The sequence below is a fragment of the Homo sapiens genome, chromosome 17, assembly GCF_000001405.40.
Source record: "Homo sapiens chromosome 17, GRCh38.p14 Primary Assembly".
NCBI lineage: Eukaryota > Metazoa > Chordata > Mammalia > Primates > Hominidae > Homo > Homo sapiens.
In genome coordinates this window covers 61,386-73,427 of record NC_000017.11, presented here as the reverse complement: position 1 = coordinate 73,427, position 12,042 = coordinate 61,386, and the positions used below count along the sequence as shown (strand labels likewise).

General features: G+C 51.3%; 2 pseudogenes; both read left to right on the top strand.

Moving 5' to 3' along the window:
* The first annotated feature begins 384 nt into the window (after positions 1-384).
* LOC102723777 (putative uncharacterized protein FLJ44672) lies at positions 385-9,005 on the top strand (annotated as a pseudogene).
* Positions 9,006-9,387: 382 nt separating this feature from the next.
* On the top strand, positions 9,388-11,756 carry LOC101929817 (uncharacterized; annotated as a pseudogene).
* Positions 11,757-12,042: the final 286 nt, after the last annotated feature.

Sequence of the window (12,042 nt, the reverse complement as noted above, 5' to 3'; positions counted from 1 at the left end):
GGTCTTCTTTTGTTGCCCAGGCTGGCCACAAATTCCTGGGCTCAAGTGATCCTCCCACCTCGTCCTTGTAGAGATGAGATTTAGTTATGTCGTCCAGGCTGATCTCAAACTCCTGGGCTAAATTGATTGTCTCACCTCAGCCTCTCAAGTATGTTATGAAGGTTATATGTTAGGAAGGGTCCCAGGAGGTAGACCCACGCAGATGGGATTTGGGCATAGGTTTGGTTTCCCAGGGGGCAGTGCTGAGCTCTTTGCCAGTGGGAAATGGGATGCTGGTGATTTCCAGTAGGTGACCTCACAGTGACTCAAGCTACCACTTACTGTTGATTGTGACGAAATGCCAGCTGAGGCACATGCCTTGGGAGCTAAGTGGTTGCTGCCCTTGACCACTGTGAAGACTGGCTTGGGAAGGGTCGCTTTGGATGCACTTGAGCAGGGGTCCCCAACCCCTGAGCCATGTAGCCGCAAGGAGCCACACAGCAGGAGGTGAGCTGTGTCGAGTGAGGGAGTGAGGGAAGCTTCGTCTGTATTTACAGCCACTCCCCTTTGCTCACATTCCCGCCTGAGCTCCACCTTCTCAGATGAGCAGCAGCGTTAGATTCTCATAGGAGAACGCACCCTGTTGTGAACCGTGCATGTGAGGGATCTAGGTTGCGCTGTCCTTATGAGAATCTAATACCTATTGATCTGTCACTTTCTCCCATCACGCTCAGGTGGGAACATCCAGTTGCAGGAAAACAAGCTTAACACGCCCCCTGATTCTACATTATGGTGAGTTCTATAATTATTTTATTATATATTACAGTGTAATAATGGAAATAAAGTGCCTAATAAATGCAAATGTGCTTACATCTTTTGGCCCAGCTCCTACCTCCCGGCAGCCTCTCCAGGCCCAGAACTTTCTCCAGTCAGCCTCTACAGACCAAGCTCATGACTCACAATGGCCTATTTAGGCCCATACCCTACGTCACGGCAGCCTCCGCAGATGAGCCTACTGCCTCACAGCAGCCTCCACAGGCACAGCTCCATCGTTACAATGGCCTCTTTAGACCCAGCTCCTGCCTCCCAGCCTTCTCTCCAGGCTCTGAACTTTCTCAGTAAGTTCAGGTAGCTGGGACTGTAGGTATACATGATGATACTTGGCTAATTTTTAAATTGTTTTGTAGACACGGGGTCTCACTTTGTTGGCCAGGCTGGTGTCAAACTAATGGCCTCAAGTGACCCTTCCACCCCTGCCTCCCATCCTCGAGGCATGTGCCACCACAAGGAGCACTTGTTCAATTTTCTAAAAAAGAAATTTCTAAAGTAAGGCTGTGGGATGATGGCAGGAAGATAAAAGAAAAACAGAAGAATAAGTTAAAATGACTTATTCACACATATTCTTTTGACAGCAAGAAGAACTTTTAGTATATACATTCCTTACAAACAAACAAAAGGCAGATAAACAATGTTGTATAGGAACTTCAACACACACTGTACAATATTCCCACTTTGCTGACATAAGTTATGGAAATTTCATGGTTTACTTGAGTGTCGCTACCAGTATTTTGCTTCTCTGATGATTTTTATCAACTTCCTCATCTGTTAACTTCTCTCCAAGGTATGTCATGTCACGACATACTGCCGCTGCACGAACATGGCCAGTGTCTTCCTATTCAACATGTAGAATGCTTTCCTAATTTCTCTTTTTACTCTCTGTCTTTGTGTTCTGCATTTTCCTTACTTTTATTGTCAGAAACTCCAGAAAGTCAATCGTACTAATTTATCACGATTTGCTTTATTAATTTATACTTTGCTTATATGGAATTTTGCCCAGCAGACCTCATTACAATTTCTAACCTGTTTTATTTTGTTTTTTTTTTCTGAGACAGGGTCTCCCTCTGTTGTCCAAGGCTGGAGTGTAGTAGTGCCATCGCAGCTGACTGCAGCCTCAACCTTCCAGGCTGAAGCGATCCTCCCACCTCAACCTCCCACGTGGCTGAGACTACAGGTGCTTGCCACTATGCCCAACTAACATTTGGAATTTTCGTATACGTGGATTCCAGAGGGGTGACAGCGAAACGTGAGTAAGCATGGATTTTGGTATATGCAGAGATGGGGGGCTGGAACTAATTCTGTATACTGAGGGACGACGACTATATGTTTTTACAATGACGCTGTGGGATACATACTGTTGCATAGCCTTGAAAATAATAATTTTTAATTGAGTGGAATAAGAATAATATTGATAAAAGTAGCAGCTGGCCAGGTGTGGTGGCTCACACTGGTAATCGCAACACTTTGGGAGGCTGAGGCAGGAGGATGGCTTGAGGCCAAGAGTTTGCGATAGGCCTTGGAAACAAAGGGGGAGTCACCATCCCTACAGAAAAATACATGAATTAGCCTAGTGTGGTGGCATGTTCCTGTAGTCCCAGCTACTTGGGAGGCTGAGGTGGGAGGATCACTTGAGCCCAGGGAGGCTGAGACTGCAGTGAGTCATGATCAGGCCTCTGCACTCCAGCCTGGGTGACAGAGTGAGACCCTGTCTCAAAACAACAAAAAAGCAGCAGCAACATCAACTGACCTTTTACCAGGTGCCTATTGATACCATAGTTTAATTTCTTATAACTGTTTCTTATTTCACTTACCAACTCTGTCTTCAGTTACTCCCAGATTTTTACTGTGTGTGTACAGATGACCTTTTGCTTAGATTGAATTGTCTCCCCAGAAGTAAGATTACTGTGAGTCATGGTGAATGGACATTCTCCTTACCCTTGATGTAAATTGACAGGGTTTTGGGTGCCTCCCAGCTATAATCTTAGCACTTTGGGAGGCTAAGAGAGGAGGATTGCTTGAGGCCAAGAGTTGGAGGAGGCAGTATGGCAGTATGGTGAGACCCTGTCTCCATTATTTTAAAAAATTGACAGGCTTTACCCGGGAAGGCTTATACACAATTTAAACACCCCTCATAGTATAAGAAGGTGCCCATTTCACTGCACCTTTGCCAGCACAGGGTATTATAATTTAGTAAGTCATTTTTTGTTTGATTATTTTACATAGACAAAAGAACTCATATTACTTTACTTGTCACATTTCAACATCTTTCCTCAGCTTATTAGCTCTATTTCTTTTCTGTCTGTAAATGGTTGTTGTGGTTTTGTTCTTTGAGACAGGGTCTTGCTCTGTCACCAGGCTGGACTGTAGTGGCATAATCATGCCTCACTGCAGCCTTGACCTCCCAGGCTCAAACTTCAGCATTCCGAGTAGCTGGGACTACAAGTGTGCACTACCACCACCAGCTAACTTTTTTCTTCCTTTGGATAGAGACAGGGTCTCACTCTGTTGTCCAGACCGGTCTCTAGCTCCTGGCCTTAAGCAATCCTCCTGCATTAGCTTCTCAAATTGCTGGAATTTCAGGCCTGAGCCACCATGCCTGGCCTGGGCTAGTCCTATATTCTCTAGAGTTCTCTTTACTTTGTGCTAGCCAATCTCTCATTATGCTGTTCACCTGTTATAATGAATAATTCTCTGTATTAAATTTTACCACTTTAAACTTTTGAGTGGTTTATGCTTCCTGATTGGACTCTGACTAATATGTTAGGAAGGGTCCCAGGAGATACACCCACACAGATGGGATTTGGGCATAGGTTTGGTTTACCAGGGGGCAGTGCTGAGCTCTTTGCCAGTGGGAAATGGGATGCTGGTGATTTCCAGTAGGTGACCTCACAGTGACTCAAGCTACCACTTACTGTTGATTGTGACGAAATGCCAGCTGAGGCACATGCCTTGGGAGCTAAGTGGTTGCTGCCCTTGACCACTGTGAAGACTGGTGTGGGAAGGGTCGCTTTGGATGCACTTGAGCAGGGGTCCCCAACCCCTGAGCCATGTAGCCGCAAGGAGCCACACAGCAGGAGGTGAGCGGTGTCGAGTGAGGGAGTGAGGGAAGCTTCGTCTGTATTTACAGCCACTCCCCTTTGCTCACATTCCCGCCTGAGCTCCACCTTCTCAGATGAGCAGCAGCGTTAGATTCTCATAGGAGAACGCACCCTGTTGTGAACCGTGCATGTGAGGGATCTAGGTTGCGCTGTCCTTATGAGAATCTAATACCTATTGATCTGTCACTTTCTCCCATCACGCTCAGGTGGGACCATCCAGTTGCAGGAAAACAAGCTTAACACGCCCACTGATTCTACATTATGGTGAGTTCTATAATTATTTTATTATATATTACAGTGTAATAATGGAAATAAAGTGCCTAATAAATGCAAATGTGCTTACATCTTTTGGCCCAGCTCCTACCTCCCGGCAGCCTCTCCAGGCCCAGAACTTTCTCCAGTCAGCCTCTACAGACCAAGCTCATGACTCTCAATGGCCTATTTAGGCCCATACCCTACGTCACGGCAGCCTCCGCAGATGAGGCTACTGCCTCACAACAGCCTCCACGGGCACAGCTCCATCGTTACAATGGCCTCTTTAGACCCAGCTCCTGCCTCCCAGCCTTCTCTCCAGGCTCTGAACTTTCTCAGTAAGTTCAGGTAGCTGGGACTGTAGGTATACATGACGATACTTGGCTAATTTTTAAATTGTTTTGTAGACACGGGGTCTCACTTTGTTGGCCAGGCTGGTGTCAAACTAATGGCCTCAAGTGACCCTTCCACCCCTGCCTCCCATCCTTGAGGTATGTGCCACCACAGGGAGCACTTGTTCAATTTTCTAAAAAAGAAATTTCTAAAGTAAGGCTGTGGGATGATGGCAGGAAGATAAAAGAAAAACAGAAGAATAAGTTAAAATGACTTATTCACACATATTCTTTTGACAGCAAGAAGAACTTTTAGTATATACATTCCTTACAAACAAACAAAAGGCAGATAAACAATGTTGTATAGGAACTTCAACACACACTGTACAATATTCCCACTTTGCTGACATAAGTTATGGAAATTTCATGGTTTACTTGAGTGTCGCTACCAGTATTTTGCTTCTCTGATGATTTTTATCAACTTCCTCATCTGTTAACTTCTCTCCAAGGTATGTCATGTCACGACATACTGCCGCTGCACGAACATGGCCAGTGTCTTCCTATTCAACATGTAGAATGCTTTCCTAATTTCTCTTTTTACTCTCTGTCTTTGTGTTCTGCATTTTCCTTACTTTTATTGTCAGAAACTCCAGAAAGTCAATCGTACTGATTTATCACGATTTGCTTTATTAATTTATACTTTGCTTATATGGAATTTTGCCCAACAGACCTCATCACAGTTTCTAACCTGTTTTATTTTTTATTTATTTATTTTTTTTGTTCTGAGACAGGGTCTCCCTCTGTTGTCCAAGGCTGGAGTGTAGTAGTGCTATTGCAGCTGACTGCAGCCTCAACCTTCCAGGCTGAAGCGATCCTCCCACCTCAACCTCCCACGTGGCTGAGACTACAGGTGCTTGCCACTATGCCCAACTAACATTTGGAATTTTCGTATACGTGGATTCTAGAGGGGTGACAGCGAAACGTGAGTAAGCATGGATTTTGGTATATGCAGAGATGGGGGGCTGGAACTAATTCTGTATACTGAGGGATGAGGACTGTGTATGTTTTTACAATTACGCTGTAGGATACATACTGTTGCATAGCCTTGAAAATAATAATTTTTAATTGAGTGGAATAAGAATAATATTGATAAAAGTAGCAGCTGGCCAGATGTGGTGGCTCACACTGGTAATTGCAACACTTTGGGAGGCTGAGGCAGGAGGATGGCTTGAGGCCAAGAGTTTGCGATAGGCCTTGGAAACAAAGGGGGAGTCACCATCCCTACAGAAAAATACATGAATTAGCCTAGTGTGGTGGCATGTTCCTGTAGTCCCAGCTACTTGGGAGGCTGAGGTGGGAGGATCACTTGAGCCCAGGGAGGCTGAGACTGCAGTGAGTCATGATCAGGCCTCTGCACTCCAGCCTGGGTGACAGAGTGAGACCCTGTCTCAAAACAACAAAAAAGCAGCAGCAACATCAACTGACCTTTTACCAGGTGCCTATTGATACCATAGTTTAATTTCTTATAACTGTTTCTTATTTCACTTACCAACTCTGTCTTCAGTTACTCCCAGATTTTTACTGTGTGTGTACAGATGACCTTTTGCTTAGATTGAATTGTCTCCCCAGAAGTAAGATTACTGTGAGTCATGGTGAATGGACATTCTCCTTACCCTTGATGTAAATTGACAGGGTTTTGGGTGCCTCCCAGCTATAATCTTAGCACTTTGGGAGGCTAAGAGAGGAGGATTGCTTGAGGCCAAGAGTTGGAGGAGGCAGTATGGCAGTATGGTGAGACCCTGTCTCCATTATTTTAAAAAATTGACAGGCTTTACCCGGGAAGGCTTATACACAATTTAACCACCCCTCATAGTATAAGAAAGTGCCCATTTCACTGCACCTTTGCCAGCACAGGGTATTATAATTTCGTAAGCCATTTTTTGTTTGATTATTTTAAATAGACAAAAGACCTCATATTACTTTACTTGTCACATTTCAACATCTTTCCTCAGCTTATTAGCTCTATTTCTTTTCTGTCTGTAAATGGTTGTTGTGGTTTTGTTCTTTGAGACAGGGTCTTGCTCTGTCATCCGGCTGGACTGTAGTGGCATAATCATGCCTCACTGCAGCCTTGACCTCCCAGGCTCAAACTTCAGCATTCCGAGTAGCTGGGACTACAAGTGTGCAGCACCACCCCCAGCTAACTTTTTTCTCCTTTTGGATAGAGACAGGGTCTCACTGTGTCGTCCAGAGCGGTCTCTAGCTCCTGGCCTTAAGCAGTCCTCCTGCATTAGCTTCTGTAATGGCTGGAATTTCAGGCATGAGCCACCATGCCTGGCCTGGGCTAGTCCCATATTCTCTAGAGTTCTCTTTACTCTGTGCTAGCCAATCTCTCATTATGCTGTTCACCTGTTATAATGAATAATTCTCTGTATTAAATTTTACCACTTTAAACTTTTGAGTGGTTTATGCTTCCTGATTGGACTCTGACTAATATGTTAGGAAGGGTCCCAGGAGGTAAACCCACACAGATGGGATTTGGGCATAGGTGTGGTTTCCCAGGGGGTAGTGCTGAGCTCTTTGCCAGTGGGAAATGGGGTGCTGGTGATTTCCAGTAGGTGACCTCACAGTGACTCAAGCTACCACTTACTGTTGATTGTGACGAAATGCCAGCTGAGGCACATGCCTTGGGAGCTAAGTGGTTGCTGCCCTTGACCACTGTGAAGACTGGTGTGGGAAGGGTCGCTTTGGATGCACTTGAGCAGGGGTCCCCAACCCCTGAGCCATGGAGCCGCAAGGAGCCACACAGCAGGAGGTGAGTGGTGTCGAGTGAGGGAGTGAGGGAAGCTTCGTCTGTATTTACAGCCACTCCCCTTTGCTCACATTCCCGCCTGAGCTCCACCTTCTCAGATGAGCAGCAGCATTAGATGCTCATAGGAGAACGCACCCTGTTGTGAACCGTGCATGTGAGGGATCGAGGTTGCGCTGTCCTTATGAGAATCTAATACCTATTGATCTGTCACTTTCTCCCATCACGCTCAGGTGGGACCATCCAGTTGCAGGAAAACAAGCTTAACACGCCCACTGATTCTACATTATGGTGAGTTCTATAATTATTTTATTATATATTACAGTGTAATAATGGAAATAAAGTGCCTAATAAATACAAATGTGCTTACATCTTTTGGCCCAGCTCCTACCTCCCGGCAGCCTCTCCAGGCCCAGAACTTTCTCCAGTCAGCCTCTACAGACCAAGCTCATGACTCTCAATGGCCTATTTAGGCCCATACCCTACGTCACGGCAGCCTCCGCAGATGAGGCTACTGCCTCACAACAGCCTCCACAGGCACAGCTCCATCGTTACAATGGCCTCTTTAGACCCAGCTCCTGCCTCCCAGCCTTCTCTCCAGGCCCTGAACTTTCTCAAGTCAACCTCACCAGGCCCAGCTCATGCTTCTTTGCAGCCTCTCCAGGCCCAGCTCCTGCATCTTGGTGGCCCCTCCAGGCCCAGCCTCTGCCTCCCGTCAGCCTCTACAGTCCGAACGTCTGCCTCACAGCAGATTCTTTACGCCCAGCATCTACCTCACTGTGGATCCCCCAAGCCAAGCTCCCAACCTTTCAGCAGCTTCTACACACCCAGCTCCTGCCACCCAGTGGCCTCTTTAGGCCAAGCTCATGCTTCACAAGGGCCTTTCCAGGCCCAACTTTTGTCTCATGGCAACCTTCCCTGGCCAGATTCCTGCCTGTCTCCCAGCAGCCTAGACAGGCCCAGGTCTTGTCTCACACTGGCCTCTCTACATCCAGCTTATGCCTCACGGTGGCCTCTCCACGCCCAACTCCTGTCCCAGGACGTCATCTCCGGGCCCAAAACTTACTCAAGTCAGACTCTCTAGTCCCAACTGCTGCCTCCTGGTGGCCTATGAAGGCCCAAAATCTCCTCAAGTTGACCTGTCCAGGCCCACCTCCTGCCTCCTGTCAGCGTCTACAGGCCCAACCTCTGCCTCATGGGGGCTTCTCCAGGCCCACCTCTTCCTCTTGGCTGGGTCTACAGGCACAACTGCTGCCTCACAACAGCCTTTTTTGGCCCAGTTCCTGTCCAGCTCATGGCGGCCAATGTAGGCCCAAAACTTCCTCAAGTCAAACTCTCCAGGCCCACCTTCTGCTTCCCGGTGGCATCAACAGGCCCAGCTTTGACTTGAGAACAGCCTCTGCAGGCCCTGCTCTTGCCTCCCAGGGGCTTTTTCCAGGCCCAGCTCTTGCCTCATGGCGGCTGCCCCAGGCCAAATTTCTGCCTGCCTGCCAGCAGCCTCAACAGGCACAGCTCCTCCCTCACAGTGGCCCATTTAGGCCCAACTCATGACTGTGAGGCCATTTCCAGGCCTAGTGCCTGCCTCGTGGCTGACTCTTGAAGCCCAAAACTTCCTCAAATCAGCCTTTTGCCCAACTTCTGTCTACTGTCGGACTCTACAGGTCAGCCTCTGCCTCACAGTGGACCCTCCAGACCCAGATGGTGTCTCACTGTGGCATCCTCAGGCGAAGCTCCTGCCTTTCGGCAGCCTCTCCAGGCCCAGCTCCTCCGGCCTCCCAGTGGCCTCTTTCAGCCCAGCCCAGCTCATGCCTCCCGGCGGCCTTCCCAAGCCCCGCTTTTGACTTTCGGTGGCCTCTGCAGGCCTCGACAAGGCCCAGCCTCCTGCCTCCCGAAGGCCTGCACAGGCCCAGCCTCTGCCTCACAGCGGACTCTCCACGCCCAGCTAGCTGTTGCTTCACTGCGGCCTCCCGAGTCCAAAGCTCCTGCCTCTCGGCCGCTTCGGCAGGCCCAGCTCCCGCCTGCCAGTGGCCTCTTCAGGCCCATGGGGCTCATTCCTGACAACGGCCTTTCCAGGCCCAGTTTTCCCTTCCGGCGGCCTCTCCGGGCCCAGAACCTCCTCAAGTCGGCCTCTCCAGACCCACTTGCACCCTCCGGGCATCCTCTCCGGGCCCAGCTCTTCTTCCTGGTTGGGTCTCCAGGCCCGATTCCTGCCTCTCAACAACCTCTTTGGACTCAGTGCCTACCCATCTCCTGGCGGCCTTGGTCGGCCCACAGCTTCCTCAAGCCAAGCTCCCCAGGCCCAGGTCAGGCCTCACGGTGGCCTCTCCAGGATGAGCTCCTGCCCTCCTATGGCATCTCCAGGCCCCAAATGGTCTCCGGTCGGTGGGCTCCTCCACGCCAAGGTTGGGCCTCCCGGCGACCGCCGCAGGCCCAAGTTGTCCTGAAGTCGGGCTCTCCCGGCCCTGCCTCCCAGCAAGTAAGCAAGCTCTTTTGGCTCAACTCCTGCCCAGCTCCCAACCGCCTTTGTAGGCCCTGAACTTTCTCCAGCCAAGCTCTGAGGGCCCACCTCCTGCCTCCTGGTGGCCTGTACAGTTCTAGCACTGGTTGGAGAACAGCCTCTGCAGGCCCCGCCCTTGCCTCCCAGGGGCCTCTCCAGGCCCAGCTCTTGCCCCCACGGCGGCCTCCCGGGGCCAAGTCCCTGCCTGCCTCCCAGCAGCCCGCGTGCGGCCCAGCTCCTCCCTCACGGTGGCCTGTTGATGCCCAACTCATGCCTCTGGTACCCTGCCCAGAGGCGTGAGCCCCTGCCTCACACTGGCTCCTCCCACGCTGAGAGAGGTCAGTGTGAGCCCTTGCCTCACACCAGCCCCTCCCACGCGGACAGAGGTCAGCGTGAGCCCCTTGCCTCACCCCGGCCCCTCCCACGTGGACAGAGGTCAGCGTGAGCCCCTTGCCTCACACCGGCCCCTCCCACGCTGAGAGAGGTCAGTGTGAGCCCTTGCCTCACACCGGCCCCTCCCACGCGGACAGAGGTCAGCGTGAGCCCCTTGCCTCACACCGGCCCCTCCCACGCTGAGAGAGGTCAGTGTGAGCCCTTGCCTCACACCGGCCCCTCCCACGCGGACAGAGGTCAGCGTGACCCCCTGCCTCAACAGGCCACCGTGAGGGAGGAACAGGATCGCACTCGGGCTGCTGGGAGGTAGGCAGGGACTTGGGCCTGGGAGGTCGCGGTGGGGCGAGAGCTGGGCCTGGAGACTCCCCTGGGAGGCAACAGCGGGGTCTGCAGACGCCCTTCTCCAGCCGGAGCTGGGACTGTTCAGTCACTGGGAGAAGGGATGTGGGTCTGAAGAGCTTGGTTGCAGAAACTTCGGGGTCTACAAAGGCAGGCGGGAGCTGAGCCAAAAGAGCTTGTTTGCTGGGAGGTGGGAGATGCAGCCAGGAGGAACAGCTGGGCAATGCGGGAGGCAGAGGCCAGGCCTCCTCAAGTTGGCCTCTCAGACCCACTTGCAGCCTCCCGGCGCCCCCTCCGGGCCCAGCTCTTCCTCCTGGCTGCATCTCCAGGCCGGACTCTGGCCCGACTCCAGGTCCCAACAACGTCTTTGGACTCAGCTCCTGCCCAGCTCCCAGCGGCCCTGGTAGGCCCACAACTTCCCTAAGCCAAGCTCCCCAGGCCCAGCTCAGGCCTCGCGGTGGCCTCTCCAGGCTCAGCTCCTGGCCCTCCGATGACATCTGCAGGCCCCAAATGGCCTCCGGTCGGTGGGCTCCTCTAGGCCCAGCTTGGGCCTCCCGGCGGCCTCTGCAGGCCCAAATCGTCCCGAAGTCAGTCTCTCCAGGCTTAGCTCCAGCCTCCCGGCGGCCTCTGCAGGCCCAAGTCGTCCTCAAGTCGGCCTGGAAGTGGGCCTGGAAGAGCAGCAAGTCGGCCTCCCTGGGCCCAGCTCCGTCCTCTCGACGGCCTCTCCAGGTGCAAAACTTCCTCGAGTCAGCCTCTCCAGGCCCAGCTCCTCCTGCCTCCCAGTGGCCTCTTTCGGCCCAGCCCAGCTCATGGCTCTCGGCGGCCTTCCCAGGCCCCGCTTTTGACTTTTGGCAGCCTCTTCAGGCGCAGAACTTGATCTCCAGGCGGCCTTTGCAGGCCCGGCCTCCTGCCTCTCGAAGGCCTGCACGGGCCCGGCCTCGGCCTCGGCCTCACAGCGGACTCTCCACGCCCAGCTAGCTCTCGTCTCACTGCGGCCTCCCCAGTCCAAAGCTCCTGCCTTTCGGCCACTTCGGCAGGTCCAGCTCCTGCCTGCCAGTGGCCTCTTTAGGCCCAGCTCATTCCTCACGTCGGCCATTCCAGGCCCCGTTTTTCCCTTCCGGCAGCCTCTTGGCCTCTAATTTGTTTATCTTTTGTGTATAAATCCCAAAATATTGAATTTTGGAATATTTCCACCATTATGTAAATATTTTGGTAGGTAATTTATTTGGAGTGAGTTTCTGCGCCAAGCCCGAATTTTTTATTTTATTTTCCTTATTATTTGGTGTTAAACAGGTTTAATGACGGTCATGGCAACTTTTTGGCACAATGAAAAATATCGCCCACGATCAACGTGTTCTGTTCTGGGGAAGGGGGCAAAGGCAGGGTGAATCACTTTCTTAAAAAGTATAGCTCAAGTTGGGAGTGCAGAGGGAATGGGGAGAAAACCCTCCCGCTGCCTGTGTCGAAGTGTAGGAGCCCCCACCCCCATACTCACCTGAGTCCAGC